Source organism: Homo sapiens, chromosome 10 (assembly GCF_000001405.40).
Source record: "Homo sapiens chromosome 10, GRCh38.p14 Primary Assembly".
Taxonomy (NCBI): Eukaryota; Metazoa; Chordata; class Mammalia; order Primates; family Hominidae; genus Homo; species Homo sapiens.
Genome location: NC_000010.11, coordinates 12,446,210 through 12,469,549, shown reverse-complemented (window position 1 = coordinate 12,469,549; position 23,340 = coordinate 12,446,210). Strand labels below are relative to the sequence as shown.

The following is a 23,340-nucleotide window of genomic DNA, read 5'->3' as shown; positions in this document are numbered from 1 at the left end:
TGGGGAAGGTGGGTTGTTTATTTGCCATGACTGTAGCAGAGCACGGCAAACCTAGAAAGAGAATACGATGCAGATGTCCCCTTTCTTGGTTATGCCCCAGTGGAAGCCGTAAATATATTGCCATCTGCACACCTCTCAGGGAAGGCCTCGCTTGGAAGAAAGGGTTAATTGCATGAGCACCTTGTATGGGCTGAAATCCAGATATTTTCTAATTCTATATGAAAAGGGGAGGGGGGCGGGGGAACCTCTACCTTCTAACCTAGAATGCTGGGTCTAATTCAAGACTATAGAAATGCTGGGTGGCTTTTCTCTCCCTAAATAGAAACAAGGCCATGTTCCCATTCAGAGGAGACCCTTTAAGCTCAGCAGGCATGGACTTCAAGGGTCCCAGAATACAACAGGCTCCTTGCCCTACACAGCACCGCCCCCCTCCTCTCCTCACCCCATTTCCTCTTTATCCGGGGAGCTACAGGTCTCCATCCCCTCAGAATCTCTCCCTGTGGAGCCGTTCACTTGATTTCCATCCATGTGAATCCCCCACCTTGCCCGGGCAGGACGCTATGTAGACTGCTGAGGGCAGATGAGATTTGGGACCAGAAAGAGGCTGCTAAATAATGAATAAAAAGAAGCACCCCCAGCCCTCCAAGACCTAATTATTTGCTTGCCTGAATCCAATAAGAAAAACAACCCCATGAAAGGAAAGGATGACAAAGACAGAGGCTAATTCTTCTCAAACCTTCTGGAAATTCTAGTTCCGAAGGGGGAAGGTGTGGTCAGGGATTTGGGTGCAGATCAGACTTAAGAGCCCCTGACAAGCCTAAACTACTCCACGTCCGCCCATCACATGGGCTGGAGGGCAGGGTCATGGGGGGTTATAGGCACAAAGGGCCCCCACCAGAGGGCTGGCCCCTCCCCAGAGAACACAGGCAGTGCTCCTGTGTGGGGCTGTGAAGGAGTCTTTTTACTACTGTCCATGCCATGCCACTCCAGGACAACCTTTCCTCCCCTACTAGGGACACCCCCAATCATTCCAAACTCACCTCTCCTCTGCACCTGGGAACCAGCAGCATCCCAACAAATGCCCAGAAAGTTCTAGTTCCACCTCCGCCCCTGTGGCCCACAACATGGCTTTTATTTTCTCCAATCATACTTCACCACTTTAAAATTGCTTTTAAAAACCATATTTGAGGCCGGGCTCAGTGGCTCATGGCTGTAATGCCAGAACTTTGGGAAGGTAAGGCACGCAGATTGCTTGAGCCCAGGCGTTTGAGATGAGCCAGCCTGGGCAACAGAATGAAGACCCGTCTTTACAGAAAATATAAAAAAAATAGCTGGATGTAGTGTTAAGCACCTGTAGTCCCAGCTACTCGGGAAGCTGAGGCGGGAGGATCACTTGAGCCCAGGAGGTCAAGGCTGCAGTGCGCCATGATGGCACCACTGCCCTCTAGCCTGAGTGACAGAGTGAGACCCTGTCTCAAAACATAAAAATTAAAAAGCGTATTTGCATAAAATCGGTAGCTTGTATGAATGACATGAACTATATCAATTTCAATATCCTGGTTATGATATTGTACTGTAAACTTGTAAGATTTACCATTGGGTGAAACTGGATAAAGGGTATGCAGGCTATCTCTATTACTCCTGACAACTTCATGCAAATCTACAATTATGTCAATAAAAAATTCCATTTAAAAAACCTAAAGAACATATGTTGTAAACCTCATGTGAACAAAGACCAATCAAGAGATAATCCTACCTACAAATGATTACACAAACCCAGCCTGGGTTTTACAGGTGCTTCTGCAGCCCATTTATTCAACAAATACATATGCCATCCCTACAATGGGCTATGCCAAGCATTATGAAGTGTATCTCTGCTAACGCTCTCATAAAATGAGTGTTGATGAGAGAAAAGTCATCTATTCTAGGTAGACCTGGCATAACTGACAATTTCATTTTTTTAATCAGAGGTGAAAATATTTTGACATTCAGTGCATTTGAAAATGCATTAAGTAACTGCTCTCTTTAGGTTGGGACATGGCTCAAGTCACAATTCATAAGTTACCCTGGTCGCAGCTGTCAGGAAAACATGAGAGTGACTGGGCGCAGTGGCTCATGCTTATAATCCCAGTACTTTGGGAGACTGAGGTAGGTGGATCACTTGAGGCCAGCGGTTCAAGACCAGCCTGGACAAAATGGCAAAACCCCATCTCTACTAAAATTACAAGAATTAGCCAGGCATTGTGGCAGCTACCTGTAATCCCAGCTAATCGGGGGGCTGAGGCAGGACAATCGCTTGAACCCGGGAGGCAGAGGTTGCAGTGAACTGAGATCGCGCCACTGCACTCCAGCCAGCGTGACAGAGTGAGACTCCATGTCAATAAAAAAGAAAACATGAGAGTGGACACCCCTTTGCCGAGTCACAATATTTATTACACGTTCCACATGGCAGCATCTACCCATTCCTTCTGCGGGCCACGTACTGACAACAAGTTTCTCAGGCAGCCAAGAGAGGTGAAATTTCAACCTGAGTTCGAGGGCAACATCCTGGGGTGCTTGCTTTGCTTCAAAATGAGTCATCAAAACCCTATAAGCCTTTTGGCCAGGAAGTTCCAGAGATTTTAAACAAGCAAATGTGCCCCAGCTACGACAATCCCTGAAACATCCTGCTTCATTTTGCACCTGTCATCTGTCTGGACCAGATGTCGCTCTCAGCTCGTGTAAGAAGCCCTGTGTAGCTGCCGCCACGACCTTCCCATAAAAAACGTTCCCAAGACACATTTCCCAGGCACAGATCCTTCCTAAGGTCAGAGGCTTGAGAGGGGGACCATCTTCCTTGGCATATTTATTGCTGATGGCACTTACCAAAGTATTTTTAATGCATTATCTCATCTGTTACTTACAAATAACACCTCCCCCTAGGAAAACCTATTGACTTCTAAAAAAAAAAAAAAAAAGAAATTCAGAGACAGGGTCTTGCCCTGTCTCCCAGGCTGGAGTGTAGTGGTGTGATCATAGTTCACTGCAGCCTCCAATTCCTGGTCTCAAGCAATTCTCCTGCCTTAGCCTCTCAAGTAGCTAGGACTACAGGTATGTGCCACCACTCCCAGCTAAATTTTAAAAATTTTTGTTTGTTTGTTTTGAGACAGAATCTCGCTCTGTCGCCCAGGCTGGAGTGCAGTGGTGCGATCTCGGCTCACTGCAAGCTATGCCTCCCAGGTTCACACCATTCTCCTGCCTCAGCCTCCCAAGCAGCTGGGAATACAAGTGCTCACCACCACATCCAGCTAATTTTTTTGTATTTTTAGTAGAGATGGGGTTTCACCGTGTTAGCCAGGATGGGCTCGATCTCCTGACCTCGTGATCTGCCCGCCTTGGTCTCCCTAAAATTTTTTTTCGAGACGGTGTCTCACTATGTTGCCCAGGCTAGTCTCGAACTCCTGGCCTAAAGAGATCTTCCTTCCTCAACCTCCCAAGCAGCTGGGATTATAAGCATCAGCCACAGCATCCAGCCATAACCTCATTTTTTAAATGAAGAAACTGAGGCTAACTCTCTCAAATATTTGTCAATTCCTGGTTACTCAGAAATTGATGATTTATGATCATTTCAGTCTTTTTCTGGCCTCTTCCTATCTGCTTCTAGCAGTGGGCAGGCAGCAATCTAAAGAGAAAGAGAGAGTATGGGTCTCAAGTTAGGTGAAGTAGCAGTCCAGCTCATGACTCAAGAGATGACTTTGCATTTAGCCTCCCAGAACCTCTGTCTCTTCATCTGTAATGTGGAGTAATACCACACTGCAGCACCAAAGGGGTGATTAAATGCAACAACCTGGATAAAATACGAGGTGGTTGCTCAAAACATTACCTCTTTGATGCTTGTTAAAAATAAGATTGGCTCAGCTGGGCACAGGGGCTCACACCTGTAATCCCAGCACTGTGGGAGGCCAAGGTGGGTGGATCACTTGAGGTCAGGAGTTCAAAACCAGCCTGGCCAACATGGTGAAACGCCATCTCTACTAAAAATACAAAAATTAGATAGGCGTGGTGGTGGGCGCCTGTAATCCGAGCTACTCGGAAGGCTGAGGCAGGAAAATCGTTTGAACCTGGCAGGCAGAGCTTGCAGTGAGCCGAGATCACACCACTGCACTCCAGCCTGGGTGAAAGAGTGAGACTCCATCTCAACAAATAAAATAAAATAAAAATAAAAGATTGGCTCAATAGAAATAAGAATTAACAACCAAAGTAGAATTTTTGAATTATCAGAGAATTTTAATTATATGCAAAACTCTCTGAATTCAGGGGTAATTGGGGATTATCTATAATTAATGGCTGAGACAGAAACACCCAGATGAACAGGACTTTTATTTTCGCTTATCAGAGTTGGTAAAGAAATGCTGCCCCACTATCTTATCCTTCAATTAGAAATCTACCATTAAACCTCTGCACATAACTGAAATGCACAAACTGCGTGCTTTATGGGTGACGGACAAACCCAAGCTCTCACCCACCATTCTCATCAGATTTCAACATGACCACTGTAAAGGCATAATGGAATTTAGGATTGATTATTCCTTGCCCAATATCCAGAACGTCTCAGGAATGTGTGTGCTGTTGAATGTGATGTTCTGCTTTAGAGAATTGACTTGTGAATGGTTCTTAAGTGCTCAAATATGAAGAATATGAAATACAACAAAATACATTTGGGATGAATTTGATCACTCTTTTTTTTTTTTTTTTTAAGATGGAGTCTCGCTCTGTCACCCAGGCTGGAGTGCAGTGGCGAGATCTCGGCTCAATGCAAGCTCCGCCTCCCGGGTTCATGCCATTCTCCTGCCTCAGCCTCCTGAGTAGCTGGGACTACAGGTACCCGCCACCACACCCGGCTAATTTTTTGTATTTTTAGTACAGATGGGGTTTCACCGTGTTAGTCAGGATGGTCTCAATCTCCTGACCTCGTGATCCGCCTGCCTCGGCCTCCCAAAGTACTGGGATTACAGGCATGAGCCACGGCGCCCGGCCTTGACCACTCTTTTCTGCCTTGTCTGACATCAGCCACTAACACTAAACTCTCAAATTACAGTACACGTGGTGGGGGAGGGTAGGTAAAGCCACACGATCAAATGGTACACCTTCTGAGAGCATCAGCCTTGCTCAAGGTGAGTCTGCAAAAGCTCTGGAGATGGCCAGTTCATTTACTGACTACTCTCTGCACCTGGGAGTGCTCTGTGGCAATCGGAAAAGAGCTACTGAAGGAGAGGAAAAATACCAACTGATGGAAGACCCACCTGCCGAGGCCTCTGCTAGGTATCTGCAGAGTGTCCCATTTAATTTCTTACCTAGTCACTCAACAACCACGGGACAAAGAGGGGACCAACAGCCAGGAGCTTTTATTTATTGTTTTGAGATATACTTTAACCAGGTTTTCAGACCCCATCTAAGCAGGGGTGTATTAGTCCGTTTTCATACTGTTATAAAGAACTGCCTGAGTCTGAGTGATTTATAAAGGAAAGAGGTTTAACTGAGTCACAGTTCAGCATGGCTGGGGAGGCCTCGGGAAACTTACAATCATGGTGGAAGAGGAAGGAAGCAAGGCAGAAGGGGAAGCAAGGCATCTTCTTCACAAGGCGGCAGGAAGGAGAAGGAACGCAGGAGACACTACCACACACTTATACAACCATCAGATCTAGTGAGAACTCACTATCACGAGAACAGCATGGGGAAAACCTACCCCATGATTCATTTACCTCCACCTGGTCTCTCCCTTGACACCTGCGGATTATGGGGATTTATAGGAATTATAATCCAAGATGAGACCTGGTGGGGAAATAAAGCCTAACCATATCAGGGGGCGATACACATCAGCCCCTTCAACTCACCGAGAGGTGAGAAAAAAGCACCGAGAACATCGTAGTGAAAACAAAAGAGTGGTAATCTCAGAGGTGAGAAAACTGGCTGATAGAGACACAGATGTGCTGGCAGATTATGAATTCATGTTTACTTAAAAAGATAAGTTGTTGCATTATAAACAAACCACCAAATTTACTAACAACTAAAATACTGGTTAGTACCAACCTATGATATATTTATGCATAAATTTTTTAAAACTCTTAGAGCTGGCCAAGTGCAGTGGCTCACACCTGTAATCCCAACACTTTGGGAGGCTGAGGTGGGTGAATCATTTGAGGTCAGGAGTTCGAAACCAGCCTGGCCAACAAGGTGAAACCCCGTCTCTACTAAAAATACAAAAATTAGCCAGGTGTGGTGGTGTGCGCCTCTAATCTCAGCTACTCAAGAAGCTGAAGCAGGAGAATCACTTGAACACGGGAGGCAGAGGTTGCAGTGAGCCAAGATCACGCCATTGCTCTCTCCTGCCTGAACGACAGAGAAAGATTCCATTTCAGGAGGAAAAAAAAAAAAAAAAACTCTTAGAGCTTATTTTCATTCTCTAAGCCAAATAGGAAATAAGTTTGCTGTTATCGGTCTTGGACTCTAGATATGAGTGCCAGCTGCTGGTTGCCCAACAGAATTTTGACAAAAGATGTTTATTCTCTGGCATATGCTCATTTTTTCTTCCAGCCCAGATAGAGTGCTCTCTGTCTATGCTGCTAGGCTCTGCCCTGCAAGCTATTCTCACTAACACCACTTCACTGCAGAGGACTCCATTACCTTAACGGGTTAGAAATAAGAGCTCAAGCTGGGCATGGTGGTGCATGCCTGTAGTCCCAGCTACTCAGGGCAGGAGCTGAGATGGGAGGATTGCTTGAGCCCAGGAGGTCAAGGCTGCAGTGGGCTATGACCGTGCCACTGCACTCCAGCCTGGGAAACAGAGCAAGAACCCATCTCTAAAGAAAAAAGAGAATGAGAGCTCCACAACTCATATCAGCCCATTAGGCATGTCACATCTGAACTCTGACCCTTCTCATGTTTAATAATGCATGCTAACAGCAATATACAAATATCAGCTCTCTTTTTTGTAGTTGTTCCTGTTACTGTCATATTTTACAACAATTCTGTTAGATGGTCTTGAGACCTTCACAAATATGGTCCAATGCTTATAACCATTTATTCAAAAAAAAAAAAAAAATTCTTGGCCAGGCGCAGTGGCTCATGCCTATAATCCCAGCACTTTGGGAGGCCAGGGTGGGCGGATCACAAGGTCAAGAGATGGAGACCATCCTGGCTAACATGGTGAAACCCTGTCTCTACTAAAAATACAAACATTAGCTGGCCACGGTGGCGCGTGCCCGTAGTCCCAGTTACTCGGGAGGCTAAGGCAGGAGAATTGCTTGAACCTGGGAGGCGAAGGTTGCAGTGAGCCAAGATCACGCCACCGCACTCCAGCCTGGCAACAGAGGGGAAGACTCTGCCTAAAAAAAAAAAAAAAAAAAAAAAAAAACTCTTCATAGGCCAGAAATTCAAATTATCCATTTAGTAATGAAAAATAAGTGAATTTTCATAAAATTAACAGAATTTGGACTTCGACAGAACACAAACTCTTAGGAGCACGCACTCATTCTTTCGCTGAGTCGCAAGGGAGTTAGGGGTCTTGGTATATAAGACGTAAGAAGCGCTGGGTGGGAATATTCTGGTGAAGTGGATCCGAGAGAAGCGTGTTCATTGTTTCAGAGAACAGGGAACAGTTCCCAAGAAAAACAGTGTTTGGTTTCTGTGATGAGCAACAAACTTCCTCCTCCAAAGATACGTGGCAAAACAATACGGTCTCCACTCAAGGCATCTACTCTAAGAGATACCTTGGCTACCATCATAGAAGAACACCTAAAAATAACTGTGAAATATTTCCACCACTGTTGGGTTACTTTTGGGTATTCTTACTTTGAAAGCTTCTTTTTTTTTTTTTTTTTTTTGAGATGAAGCCTCGCTCTGTCACCAGGCTGGATTGCAATAGCATGATCTCAGCTCACTGCAACCTCCACCTCCCAGGTTCAAGCAATTCTCCTGCCTCAGCCTCCGGAGTAGCTGGGACTACAGGTGCACGCCACCACACCCAGCTAATTTTTGTATTTTTAGTAGGGACGGGGTTTCACCATGTTGTCCAAGATAGTCTCGATCTCTTAACCTCGCGACCCGCCCACCTCGGCTTCCCAAGGTGCTGGGATTACAGGCGTGAGCCACTGCGCCCGGCCAAAAGCATCTCTTCTTTAAACTGCTACCCCAAATAGTAAAAAGCATTAAAGAATCAGACGACTCCTACCCAACTGCCCTTCGTCCTTTCTTACTTTTGCTACCCTATTCTTATTTCCTGCCTAGAAAGTAAATTCAGAAAGATAACACAACACGCAGAGCACGGAACATGTATCCTCAGAGTGGCCAGGTGCCTTTCTACATCCTTGAGTACAGCTGCTTATGGAAAATCAAACCTGCTCTGGCAGGGTTGTCTCACTGGCAGCAATGGTGGATGAGGACGATCCTGTCCTCACAGGCTGGCTGCAGCAACTGCCCTGGCCAGCCCCAGAGATGCTGTCCAAGCTTCCTGTAAGGTGAATTGAGGAGGCAGAGTGGAGGTCCTTCTGCAGTCACTACCTACTTTTTTCCTTTATCTACCAGGAAGCAAAGATCACATCCTCCCAAGTCCACCCTGAGATTCTAAGAGGACAGATCTGACAAAGCTCTGAATCAGCTAGTCCTCAAAGAGAGTCCAACCCTTTTAAGCAATTAAGAATTGGGAGGCCAGGAGTGCTGGCTCACACCTGTAATCCCAGCACTTTGGGAGGCTGAGGTGGGAGGATTACTTGAAGTCAGGAGTTCAAGACGAGCCTGGGCAACATAGCAAAACTCCATCTCCACAAAAATTAAAAATAAAATAGGGTTGGGCGCAGTGTCTCACACCTGTAATCCCAGCACTTTGGGAGGCCGAGGTGGGTGGATCATGAGGTCAGGAGTTCAAGACCAGCCTAGTCAACAAAGTGAGACCCCATGTCTACTAAAAATACAAATAGCCAGGTGTGGTGGCAGGCGCCTGTAGTCCCAGCTACTCAGGAGGCTGAGGCAGGAGAATTGCTTGAACCCAGGAGGAGGAGGATGCAGTGAGCTGAGATCGCACTACTGCATTCCAGCCAGGGTGACAGTGCAAGACTATTTCAAAAAAATAAATAAATAAAATAAAATAAGCTGGGCATGGCAGTGCAGACCTGTAGTCCCAACTACTCGGGAGACTGAGGCAGGAGGATCGCTTGAGCCCAGGAGTTCAAGGCTGCAGGGAGATATGATCACACCACTGCACTCCAGACTGGGCAAGAAAGTGGAACCCCATCTCTTCAAAAAAAAAAAAAAGAATAGAGAAATAGGAAATACGACAACAAGCTTTCATTACCACCTTTTTGTGCATTTCCTAAAATGACAGAGGATGTCTGCTACTCCTGGAGCTTTTCCTTAATATACCATACAGTGGAGTTTATCATGATTAGGAAATAAGAATCTGTATGACTTTGCATTTTTTTCACCCTGAAAACAAAGCCGATTTCTGGTGTTTTCATAACTAGATCACAGATCTAGCAATGCTTGTGAATACGCCGGTTCCATGTCAGATGGAGCTATAGTCTGCACTGGTTGTCAGGAAAAGCCCAGACTCGCAAATCTGGCTGCCCAGTCTGTGTTATTTTTCCTTCATTCTCTGAGCAAAACTTAACTCTTGCTGTTGCAGACCTAGAGATGCTGGAAGCAATAACACCGCCTTTCCCCACGGCTTTGATCCATGTTGCTCATTATTTCTCAAGTTTCACCAACATTTAATTGAACCCAAAGAGACAGAGAAAAATCTCTCTTGCAAACTAATCATTTCATCGTAAAAATTTTAAAAATAACCACATTAATCTTTCATCGAATTCAGAAACTATGACAGATAAGTCTGCCACTAAAAAGACAAGGAAGAGAAAATATAAATAAATAAACACAAGACAAATATGTTTCAAATATCTACATTATCTACCATGGAGCTATCGCCCTGGGATTCTCAGACAATGACTGTCATGAAGACATATGGAATATGAGGGCTATGTGATTTATCTGAGTGTATGCGTGGGTTTTTTTTTCAATTTTCTGTAGCTAATATATCACAGTGAAGAGGAATTTTTTTAAACTACAGAATAGAAAAAAATAGACTCGTCACAGTAATGTCTCATCACCTAATAATCTATGGTTATAGTCACAAATCATTCAGAGAACATTAACCCCAGAATAACCTGACTGTTGTGAAAGCAAACTATCATGATCAAATCCACTTTTTATTTATTCAACTAAATTCTAGTTTTCCACCAACACAGTAGTGGGCTGGGGCACAGTCACCTGCCATAACGTGGTTTTTTTTATTTGAAACTTATCTGAAGTGATAATTATATTATGATAAAATATAATCCTGGCCCGGCACCGTGGCTCACGCCTGTAATCCCAGCAGTTTGGGAGGACGAGGCAGGTGGATCGCCTGAGGTCAGGAGTTTGAGACCAGCCTGGCCAACATGGCAAAACCCCGTCTCTACTAAAAATACAAAAATCAGCCACACGTGGTGGCGCATCCCTGTAATCCCAGCTACTCAGGAGGCTGAAGCAGGAGAATCACTTGAACCTGGGAGGCAGAGGTTGCAGTAAGCCGAGCTCACACCACTGCACTCCAGCCTGGGCAACAGAGCGAGATTTCATCTCAAAAAAAAAAAAAAAAGGAAAGAAAGGAAGGAAGGAAGGAGAAAGAAAGAAACTTATCTGAAGTGATAATATGATGATAAAATGTAATCCTGACTGCTGTAGCAAAAGATTAAATGTAAGATTTTACACCACTTTATTATCCTAGGTGCAAATATTGTTCAAAGGGCCAGGCGCAGTGACTCACACCTGTAATCCTGACACTTTAGGAGGCTGAGGCAGGAGGATCGCTTGAGGCCAGGAGTTCAAGAGACCAGCTGGGCAACAACACAGTGAGACCTCATTTCTACAAAAAATATTAATAATAACAATAAAATTAGTTGGGCATGACAGCACACACCTTTAGTTCCAGCTACTTGGAAGGCTGAGGTGGGAGGATCACTTGAGGCCAGGAGGTAGAGGCTGTGGTGAGCTATGATCGTGCTACTGCACTCCAGCCTGGGTGACAGTGCAAGACCCTGTCTTTAAAAAATAAAATTAAAAAAATACTGTTTGCAAATGCATGATGAACACATAGGAATATGTATCAGCAATGAACGTCCCCTCTGGCCTCAGCATGGACTCCTCTCGCCTTCCTCTCTAGGTCCTGCCGCATGAGCCTTCTCTTCCTCACTAATCACCTTTTTGTCATGTGTTTGCCCCCTCAAGAATGCCAGCTCTGGGAAAGCTTGGACCTTAATGCTTCTGTTGACAGCTGTATCCTCGGCATGTGCAACAGCAGACAGTGCATGGGAGAGGCTCGGTATGCATTTGCAGATTGAATGAATGAATGAATGCACTGACTTTGCTTCTGAGCTAAGAAATGCAGTCAACCACCTTCACTCTCCACCACCTGCTCTTGGTCTCATTCAAAGTCAAAGGCATTCCCTGGCTGATTTGCTTTTGCTGGTTGCTGACTTGCTTTTCTACATGATTCAAAGGTCAACACAATCCATCAAAAGACCCATGCAAAGGAGGCATTCCGACACCTATTCCCAATCACTCCCTTCCCCTGTGCCTCAGACAGAAGAGCATTTTATTATAACTTGTTTATCCTTCCAGTGTTTCTTGATGCAAATATAAGTAAATTCACATACATATGTTCGTATGTCCATCTTTCTTTTTTTTTTTTTTTTTTTTTGAGACAGAGTCTTGCTCTGTCGCCAGGCTGGAGTGCAGTGGCATAATCTCAGCTCACTGCAACCTCCGCCTCCTGGGTTCAAGCAATTCTCCTGCCTCAGCCTCCCAAGTAGCTGGAACTACAGGCTCGCGCCACTACACCCAGCTAATTTTTGTATTTTTAGTAGAGATAAGGTTTCACCATGTTGGCCAGGATAATCTCAATCTCTTGACTTCGTGATCCACCCGTCTCGGCCTCCCCATGGGATTATAGGTGTGAGCCACTGCGCCCGGCCGCCCAGCTTTCTTATACAAAGAGCAGCATACTCCATGCACTGTTTTTCACCTTGCGTTTTGTACTTGTTAATGTACCTGGAAATCTTCCCATTTCAAAACACTTTTTTTTTTTTTGAGACAGAGTCTCGCTCTGTCACCCAGGCTGGAGGGCAGTGGCTCGATCTCGGCTCACTGCAACGTCCACCCTCTGGGTTCAAGCGATTCTCCTGCCTCAGCCTCCAGGGTAGCTGGGATTACAGGCACGTGCCACCACTCCCAGCTAATTTTTGTGTTATTAGTATACACAGGCTTTCACCATGTTGGTCAGGCTGGTCTCGAACTCCCAACCTCAAGTGATCTGCCCACCTTGGCTTCCTACAGTGCTGGGATTACAGGCGTGAGCCACCATGCCTGGACAGAAACACAGATTTTTATCATTCTCTTTAACAGCTGCATAGCGTTCCACTGTCGATACACACCATCACCCCTTTAACCAGTCCCTTATTGACTGATGGCCACTTGGCGGCTTCCAACACTCTGGTGTCACAAAGCTTCAATGATAATTGTGAGCAAATGTCATTTCATCACATGTGGGGGTGTATCTGCAGTAAAGATTCCCAGAAACAGGACTGCTGGGTCAAAGGGTAAATGTATCCGTAATGTTAGTTCATGGCACCAGATGCCCCTCCTGTAGGGTTGTTTAAAAGTACTGTTAGGTGCTATAAAAAGGTAGAGATTTTTTTTTTTTTTTTTTTTTTTGAGACAGAGTCTCACTCTGTCACCGAGGCTGGACTGCAGTGGCGCAATCATAGCTCACTGCAGCCTTGACCTCCTGGGCTCAAGTGATCCTCCCGCCTCAACCTGGGACAACAGGCACGTGCCGCCATGCCTGGCTAAGATTTAAATTTTTGTAGAGACAGGCCCTCACCATGTTGCCCAGGCTGAGTGATACTTTAAATGTATATGTGTGGTATAGGTCCTGAGAATGTTTTCCATTCTTGTCACGGGGACTGTTAACCTATTTCTTTACTTTCATAAAACACGGGATCTTTTAAAATTTAAATCAATGCGGCATCCCCCACTGGTGGTCTGAGTTCACCTTCCCTATTAAACTTGCATCCAACAATTCTCTTAGGCTAACAGGTTTCCCCTCTAGCAACCTATTGGAAGAAAACAGCCCCTCTCAAAAAGACTTGAAAGCCTAGTTAATATGGGTGGAATTAAATTTTTATAAGAGCATTCAGGAATTCTAAATCAGCAGCAAATATTTTTCTCATCACAAGACACACAATGACATGGAAATCAAACATAAATGAATATTTTAAAACTTTATTCATTCCAATTCAGGGGATCCCCAAACCTAGTTTATATTCCCAGAGTTTTTAGTAATTCATGACTTTTTCACAGTGAGAATCTATAATGAGAAAATGGTGCCTATCTGCAGAAGCGATAAAGGGTTCTTTCCCACCCAAGCTTCTGGAGAAGGCATGAGGAAACAATGTACTTTCACATGAGAATCTCAGATTTCAGGAAATTGACCTTCTGACTTAGAACATTTATTATGGGCGGGGTGCACCAAAGCAATGATCTGCTTTCATACTGGCACGAACTGGCTAAATACAAGTCATATGAGACTAAATTCACTCCTTTGTTTAATATGGTTTTGTATAACACCTTCAGTTTACTTTAAAATCATTTGGCACGGACAGCATGATATTCTCCATGGGCTAGTTGCTGTAAATGTCAATTCTAAGAACAGTCAGTTAACCTAATCAATAACTCATACTCCATCCACCAAAGACATGGACAAGAATGTTTTCAGCTGTTTGCTTCATATTGTCCCAAACTGGAAACAACCAAATGTCCATCAACTACAGAAAGGAACCTAAACTTTATATGATGGAATTACAGAGCAATGGGGAAAAAACGAACAACTTTTACATACAACAACATGAATCAATGTCATAAAACATAAGTGCAATTCCATTTATATGGAATTTAAAAGCAGGCAAAACTAATCTAAGGTGACAACAGTCAGAACCGTGATTACCAGGCTGGACATAGTGGCTCATGCCTGTAATCCCAACACTTTGGAAGGCCAAGGCGGGCGAACTGCTTGAGCCCAGTAGTTTGACACCAGCCTGGGCCACATGGCAAAACCCCTGTCTCTACAAAAAAATACGAAAATTAGCTGGGTGTGGTGGTGCATACCTGAAGTCTCAGCTACTTGGGACACTGTGGCAGGAGGATTGCTTAAGCCCGGGAGGTCAAGGCTGCAGTGAGCCCTGGTCATGTCACTGCACTCCAGCCTGAGCTACAGAGCAAGACCCTCTATCCTTATGCGAGATTCCTAAAAAGGTCCAGCCATTGGTTTGGGAAATTTCTGGCTGCCTGAGGCTCCTCCTAGGGTAAGAGAACCCTGGTTTTGGAATACTGGAAAATCTGCCTCGAGGGAAGCTTTCATCCAAAGTGGCACTCAGAGCACACAGTAAGGCACAGAGCAGGGACTCCTGATGACAGAACCACCACCCAGACTGTACTCGGCCAGCCGGCCGGCCTGCTCACACATTTCCTAAATAAGGGATCTTATGTGAATTTGGTATGAAACTTGCTTGCATTATAACCTGGCAATGAGAATGTAGGAGAACAGCTAACTGTCATTCACCTAAAATTTTACCTACTAAAAAACCTGAGCGCGGACAGCCAGTCTGGCTTAGTTCCATTCTCCAGAGGTTTGCAGATTATTAGGTGAGTGGCAACATAGCGCAGGCACAGAGGCTCACACCTGTAATCCCAGCACTTTTAGGGGCTGAGGCAGGAGGATCACTTGAGTCCAGGATTTCAAGACCAGCCTGGGGAACACAGCGAGACTCCATCTCTACAAAAAATTTTAAAATTTGCCAGGCATGGCAGTGCACGCCTATAGTCCCAGCTACTCGGGAGGCTGAGGCAGGAGAATCGCTTGAGCCCAGGAATTTGAGGCTGCATTGAGCTATGCTGTGCCACGGCACTCTTAACCCAGGTGACAAAGTAAGACCTTGTCTCTAAAAAAAAATTAAAATTCGGCCGGGAGTGGTGGCTCACACCTGTAATCCCAGCACTTTGGGAGGACGAGGCAGATGGATCACAAGGTCAGGAGATTGAGACCATCTTGGCTAACACGGTAAAGCCCCGTCTCTACTAAAAGTACAAAAAATTAGCCAGGCGTGGTGGCACGCGCCTGTAGTCCCAGCTACTCAGGAGGCTGAGGCAGGGGAATTGCTTGAACCCAGGAGGCGGAGGTTGCAGTGAGCTGAAATCGCGTCACTGCACTCCAGCCTGAGTGACAGAGCGAGACTCCATCGCGAAAACAAACAAACAAAAAAATTAAATTCAAAAACAGAATGACAACCTGCTGTCCACATAATATAGTAAGAAATTTCCTTATAAATGAAATGAAGACAGGAGCTAGAAGCAAGAAAAACTGGACCGATAAACACCTGCACAGCAAGACCCAACCAGGGGAAGGGTTTCAACAGCCCCCCCAGAGCTCTGCTGCTGGCCCCTTCCTCTTCAGCATTTTTATTGGTGACTTGTACAGAGAGAGGATACGATCATCATGTTTGTGGACAACCCAAAATTAAACTAAACTCAGAATTCTAAAAAGATCTTGACAGGCTGATATAATGAGCTGGATCTCACAAGATTGTGCATAAAAATTAACAACTCAGAACAAAACAGGCAAGGCTCCATGATAAAATGTATCCTAGTTGTTACATTTAAAACTTTAGGGGTTTTGGATAACCAGCAGTTCAGGTAAGTCCATGTAAGTCAGAAGTGTGTTGTGGTTGCCAAAAATGCAATGCCTGTATTATATTTCAACGAAAGTTTCCTTTTAAAAATGTAATGCAACATAGTCATACACCAATATTCCTAGCAGCATGATTCACAATAGCCAAAAGGTTACTCAGACAGTCCATGGACAGATGAATGGGTAAGCGAAATATGATCTAGCCATACAATGGAATATTATTCGGCCTTAAAAAGGAAGAAAATTCTGGCCGGGCACAGTGGCTCATACCTGTAATCCTAGCACTTTGGGAGGCCGAGGCAGGCGGATCATGAGGTCAGGAGTTCAAGACCAGCCTGGCCAACACAGTGAAACCCCATCTCTACTAAAAATACAACAATTAGCCGGGCGTGGTGGCAGGCGCCTGTAATCCCAGCTACTCAGGAGGCTGAGGCAGGAGAATCGCTTGAACCCAGGAGGCGGAGCTTGCAGTGAGCCAAGACTGCACCACTGCACTCCAGCCTAGGCGACAGAGTGAAACTCCATCTCAAAAAAAAAAAAAAGAAAAAAGAAAAAGAAGAAAAGTCTGACCCATGCTTCAAACTGGATGGGTCTTGAGGACTGAGTGAAATAAGCCAGTCATAAAAAGGCAAATATTGACGAATCCACTTCAACAAGGCCCCTAGAGTAGTCCAATACATAGAGGGAGAAAGTAGAATGGGGCTGGCCGTAGACTGGGAGGAGAGAAGATGAGGAGTTGCTGTTGAATGAGGGCAGAGTTTCTGTCTGGGAAGATGAAAAAGTTCTGGAGATGGATGGTGGCGATGGCTGCACAACAATGTGAATATACTTCATGCCACTGAACTGTACTCTTAAAAACAGTCAAAATGGGCCAGGCGCGGTGGCTCATGCCTGTAATCCCAGCACTTTGAGAGGCCAAGGCGGGAGTTCAAGACCATCCTGACCAATATGGTGAAACCCCGTCTATACTAAAAATAAAAAAATTAGCCAGGCATAGTGGTGCATACCTGTAATCCCAACTACTCGGGAGGCTGAGGCAGGAGAATTGTTTGAACCCAGGAGGCGGAGGTTGCAGTGAGTCAAGACTGCACCACTGCACTCCAGCCTGGGCGACAGAGTGAGACTCGGTCTCAAAAAAAAAAAGTCAAAATGGTCAAACTTACATTAATACATATTACTATAATGTGTATTGATATATGGACCATAATGCATATTTATACATACAAATACATATACAAATAAATGTATATTTATACATTATAAATAATTGTACTGTATTGTATACAATATTGTATATTTATACAATTATTTATAATGTATAAATATTTATTCAGTCCACATAACATTCTGAGAAATTTCCTTATGATTTCTTTGTAAATGAAAGGAAGAAAGGGGCTAGATGTGAGAAAAACTGGACACTGTATATTTATACAATATAAATCAATATAAATAATTGTATAAATATTGTAAATTCAGTTTACAATAATACATATTACCATTTTTTTAAGAACCCAAAAAATGCAATGCAATCATCTGCTCCATTAATGTGAACAAAGGTCATTGTCGGGTTCCATACGCTGCTCTCAGAACACACCTGAAAACACTGTGAAAACAGGCTTGCAAAGGGATCCGCAAACATCGCCCACCTGACTCGCCTGCTCCACGAGACTCTCCTCCTTCCCTCTCAAGTGGGCTTTGCCTCTGAACCTGGATGGTTCCTCTCCCTCAATTAAGGGGCTATTGGCCACTTGGAAAAGGAGGCGGCCCCCAGCACATGTGCTGCTTCAGATCCCCAATGTCTCTGTTGCTCTGGTTCCTGGGACCCCGGTGGTCGAAGGCCCATCGGCCAGAGTAGCCCCCGGGACACTGAGAACATGGACATCCCCCAGGGAATCTTCCAGAAGCCTTAGCTCCCTGTCCCACTTCGTCTCTGACCCACTCTCCAACACACACACACACACACAAACACATAACCATCCTCAAGTCTCTGCCTCCCAATGCAACAAAGGATTGGTATATTCATTTACTCCACAAATATTCAGAGTTTGAGAGAAATTGTAAAATAAATTCTTTGAAAGATTTACCAGTTCAAGAAATGCATATCATGTATATGAATGACAATTAATATTTATTAAGTGCCACTATTATCAGAATTTATCTCATTTCTCTCGCCCCCTCTAAATAAATTAGTCTGTGAAGCTGAGACAGGAAAAGAGCTGCCCCAGGGTGGAAATCCTCAAATGGAGCCAGGGCACTGGGTCCCTGGGGATACCAGGTCCCAAGAAGAGGGCAAGAGTGAAGATGGAGCAGGTTCCCAATGTCTACAGAGGAATCTCCTCCAGGCCCTCCTACCTCTTCCTCCTCCCAAGGCAAGAGAACAGACTTACCCAGCTGGCCAGGAGGGGATGGAGGGCACCAGCCCAGCTCCTTCTCCCTCCTTTCTCTTGGGAACCCGTGGGAAGCCCACAGACTACATCTCTCCTCTGGGCCAGAGGAGGAGCCTGCAGGGGGCTAGGCGGACTGCTTCTGAGGTTGAGAGTGAGGAAGCCCTTTATTAAAACATGCCCCAGTCCTCCAATGGAACTTTTATCAGGAATGAATTTAACATTTTGATCTCCACCTGCCTGGCCCCTCAGCCCTACTTCTCAATTGGTTCAGAGCTCATGTGGGAAAGAATGGTTCTCCTCACTCCCCGGCCCATGGCAGACACCCAGCACCGCACCTCTTACATGGCGGGCAGGTCTAGGTGGGAGGTCTTCAAAGCTGGTTCTCACAGTGGGAGCCTGCATGAGGCGCAGGACATGCCAGTTGGCTCATAACCTCTGGGGCCAGCAGCACCTGATAGCCGCCAGGCAGTCAAAGCATGAGTTTTTCATCCTTCTTTTATTCTGGAACAATGGGAGTTTCCTTAGACAGGTAACCCAATAGACCCAGCATTTAGCCTCCTTGAAGAAAACACCAGAGTCTCAAATAACAAAACAAAACTAAATGCAAAGGGCTGTCCAAGTCCTCACTGTAACTCGAAATGGCATTGGGAACATTTATGGAGACTAGAAAATACAAGACCTCAAACCTGCTGGGTCTCAGACCAGGACACAGCCTCCTTCTCTCTGGCCAGTACACAAGTCATCAAACCACTGTCCATGTGTGAGCTGCCCAATCTACAAGCCAAGCCCAGCTGGAGACACCACTAACCCATCCCTATTTATTCTCTTAACCAAATAACTTCCAGATTTCCATTTCACCTGGCTAGAGAGCCACGTTTATGTCTCTAAAGCTTCGATCCTTCTTTAAGAACAAGAAATTAACAAAATCACAACGGCTCTTCCTAATGGTATTAAACATAAAACTTTCACGCTTATATAAACCTGAGAGCTCATGGAGTTAGTTCCACCTCCTCATTCCCCACACGAAGAGACTGTGGAGCTGTAAACTCAGTATATAACCCAAATGTAACTGGGGAAACTGGAATACAAACTGGATATTAAGAAATTAGTATTAATTGTATTAGTTGTGATAATGCTATTTTAATTACATAGGGAAACTTCCTTCTTCCTTCCTTCCTTCTTTCCCTTTTTCCTTCCCTCCTTCCTTCTTTCTCTCTCTCCCCACCCTCCCTCCCTTCCTTCCTTCTTTCCTTCCTTGGGTGAAGGAACAGAGATTGACACTACTGTTAGTATGGGTGTAACATCAAGATGTCTCCAATTTACTTTTTTTATATACGTGTGTATTTTTTTTGAGATGGAGTCTCGCTCTGTCGCCCAGGCTGGAGTACAGTGGTGTAATCTCGGCTCACTGCAACCTCTGCCTCCCAAGTCAAGCGATTCTCCCACCTCAGCCTCCCAGTTAGCTGGGATTACAGGCGCCTGCCACCATGCCCAGATAATTTCTATATTTTTAGTAGAGGTGGGGTTTCGCCATGTTGGCCAGGCTAATCTCAAATTCCTAACCTCCAGTGATCCACCCACCTAGGCCTCCCAAATGATTATAGGCGTGGGCCACCACGCCCGGCCAACATGTGTCTTTTTTTAAGCTTTACTGAGGTATGACTGACAAATAAAAATGGTATATATTTAGGTATACAACATGATGTTTTGATATATGTATACATCGTAACATGATGTTTTGATATATGTATACATCGTAACATGATGTTTTGATATATGTATACATCATAAAATGATCACCATGATCAAGCTAACATACCTATCAACTGCCATCATCACCCCTTGTGTGCGTGTGATGATGGCACTTGAGATCTACTCTCTTAGCAAATATCTTCACTTTTTTTTTTTTTAAACAGCTGGCCTGACCTAGGGTATACACAGCTGGTTAGTGGACGAGCTGGTTAACAGCAAGCGTGGTTCCTGCCAAGGCTGTTTTCAACATGCTATACTCTCAACACGGGAGCAGCTACACAAGACGACGGGGCCCTTCACACAGCCACACGGACCCTGCCCACTCAGCTTGGGGAGGTTCTACGTGCTCCCAATGAGGATGGCAGACAAGCCACACTTCAATGAGAGTAACTTGCTAGGTTGGCCTCTTTATCTGATTTTAATGGCCAAATACTCATGTAACATCGGCCCAGGTAACATTTGTTCTGAGTTTCAAAGACCACATCAGTGCACCAAGGAACTGGAATCTTTCATAACATAGTAACATGACGTAATAGAATCTGGATAGAATCATACAATAACAATCACAAACCGCTTGCTGTGTACCAGGAACTATTCTAAGTGTTTACAAGAATGATCTCAGTAAATCACAACATCCGATGAGATTATTATCTCCATCACATTGATGAAGTAACCAGGGCACAGAGAAGTTAAGAAAACCACCAAAACCACGGAGCCCTACACGACAGTCAGCGTTTTGGATGACTCAGCCGTACGTGCCCCTGTGATCACACTCCATTTCCGGATAGTCACATTTCATGTTTTTCACCGGGAGGAATGGTCCGGGGATAATTTCTTCTCATTCCTTTCTTTAAAAATAGTACAAAAGGATAAAAACAAAAAGTAAAAGAGAAAAATAAAATCTGCCACAGAGGCTAAAACAACATATCTGATGTCGAAAAAATGTTTTTCACTTTGTTTTTCTCAACAAAAATTCAAATCACTCAAGTACTGCTTGACTCTTCTCCAAACAAACCTAGGCAAGAAGTCCGTAGTATCTCTAAACAAACCCAGGCAAGAATCCACACGGCTCTACAGTTTCTCCTCCAGAGAACTCTGTGGGCCAGGCATGGTGGCCCATACCTGTAATCTCAGCAACTTTGGGAGGCTGAGGCAGGAGGATCACTTGAGGCCAGGAGTTCAAGATCAGCCTGGGCAATATAGAGAAACAAAAAAAAAATAAAAATTAAAATAAGCAAAAATAAAAATACAAAAAGTAAAAATAAGTAAAAAATCCAGGCATCGTGGCTCACGCTTGTAATCCCAACACTTTGGGAGGCCAAGGCAGGAGGATCACTTGAGGCCAGGAGTTCAAGATCAGCCTGGGCAATATAGAGAAACAAAAAAATAAATAAATAAAAATAAGTAAAAATAAAAATACAAAAAGTAAAAGTAAGTAAAAAAGTCCAGGAGTCGTGGCTCATGCCTGTAATCCCAACACTTTGGGAGGCCAAGGCAGGAGGATCACTTAAGGTCAGGAGTTCGAGACTAGCCTGACCAACATGGTGAAACCCTGTCTCTACTAAAAACAGAAAAAAATTAGCCAGGTGTAGTGGCACACACCTGTAATCCCAAATACTTGGGAGGCTGAGGCAGGACAATCACTTGAATCCAAAGGCAGAGGTTTCAGTGAGCCGAGATTGTGCCATTGCACCCTAGCCTGGGCAACAAGAGCGAAACTCCATCTCAAAAAATAATAATAATAAAAATAAGTAAAAAAAATAAATCAGCCAAGCATGGTGATACATACCTGTAGTCCTCGTTACTCAGGAGGCTGAGGCAGGAGGATCACTTGAGTCCAAGAGTTCAAGACTACAGTGAACTACAAAATTAACTTAAAATCAATATTTTTTTTTGAAATAGGATCTCACTCTATCACCAAGGCTGGAATGCTGTGGCACAATCTTGGCTTACTTCAGTCCCAACCTCTCAGGCTCAGGCAATCCTCCCACCTCACTCTTTTGAGTAGTTGGGACCCCAGGTGCACACAACTACACTCAGCTAATTTCTTAATTTTTTGGAGAGACGGGGTCTTGCTATGTAGCCCAGGCTGTTCTCAAACTCTTGGCCTCAAGCAATCTTTCTGTCTCAGCTTCCCAAAGTGTTGGGATTACAGGCATGAGCCACCACACCTAGCCCTAAAAATTTAAACATTTTAAAAAAGGAAAAAACTATCTGAAGGCTGCCCAGTGGCCAGCAGAGGCCTCTCATCATGATATATCAGAAAGTTACCAGTTATTCCCTTTAAGGACTCTAGGTGAGTTTCTGCAGAAAGAGTGACATGGGAAATAAATTGTTGTTGGCCTTCCAATACCTTTGCTAACTTCTCCAGTATTGATAATGACTTCGAACAAATCTTTATAATTTAATTACCTCTTGAAAGTGGTGCCTTCTGAAGCTAACACGAGATACAGACCATTCTGCAGAAGAATATACTCAGTAAAAAAAGACAGAGAGAGAGAGACACAGTGGAAAAAACTTAGACCCAAACACTGAGTTTCGAACATCCCAGAAAAGGAGACGTTGTCTTAAACAACCCATCCTAGACATGGCAAAATGTCTTAGGATGAATTGGGGAAGCTGCCAGTTGGGACACTCCCTAGTTCTATTCCAAAATCCCTTCCCTACATTTAGCCCAATTTAAGGTATCTCATGTAATTCTCAGAAAAGATCAAAGAATTCTCAAAGGAAGTCAACATCCAACTAAGATACAGCACACAGTATCTGACAGCAGGGAAGGAAGGGTAGACTCAAACCAGAACAACAAGGACAAAGAGTTCTAACTCCAAAGGGCTTGGGAATCACCGGCATAGAGCTTGCTGTAAAGTCTCCAACTGCAAAAAGAGAAAGGATTTATATCATGGCTACTATCCAGACTTTAGAAACATCTGAGCTTCCTCAAATACTAGTGTCAGAGGCACTGGAACCAGATCAACTCCATCTTGAGTAGGGACTGGGTAAAATGAGGCTGAGACCTACTGGGCTGCATTCCCAGGCAGTTAAGGCATGCTAAGTCACAGGATGAGACAGGAGGTCGGCACAAGATACAGGTCATAAAGACCTTGTTGATAAAACAGGCTGCGGTAAAGAAGCGGCCAAATCCCACCAAAACCAAGATGGCGACGAGAGTGACCTCTTGTTGTCCTCGCTGCTACACTCCTGTCAGCACCATGACAGTTTACAAATGCCAAGGCCACATCAGGAAGTTACCCTACATGGTCTAAAAAGGGGAGGCATGAATAATTCACCCCTTGTTTAGCATATCATCAAGAAATAACCATAAAAGTGGGAAACCAGCAGCCCTCGGGGCTGCTCTGTCTATGGATTAGCCATTCTTGATTCCTTTAC

At 44.6% G+C, this 23,340-nt stretch overlaps 1 protein-coding gene and 1 pseudogene across 7 annotated transcripts in view, besides 1 other annotated feature; both read right to left on the bottom strand.

Annotated features, from left to right (window-relative positions):
- CAMK1D (calcium/calmodulin dependent protein kinase ID) overlaps positions 1-23,340 on the bottom strand; it is a 485,999-nt gene that overhangs the window by 365,996 nt on the left and 96,663 nt on the right. The gene's annotated exons all lie outside the window — the stretch shown is intronic.
- RNU6ATAC39P (RNA, U6atac small nuclear 39, pseudogene) lies at positions 12,919-13,067 on the bottom strand (annotated as a pseudogene).
- Positions 19,945-21,144: an enhancer, noted in NCBI's record as "P300/CBP strongly-dependent group 1 enhancer chr10:12490405-12491604 (GRCh37/hg19 assembly coordinates)". NCBI's record gives its function as "activates an origin of replication core promoter dependent on BRD2, BRD4, P300/CBP, MED14 and CDK7 cofactors, with strong dependence on P300/CBP, by STARR-seq in HCT116 cells {active_cell/tissue: HCT116}" and the evidence as "EXISTENCE:reporter gene assay evidence [ECO:0000049][PMID:35650434]".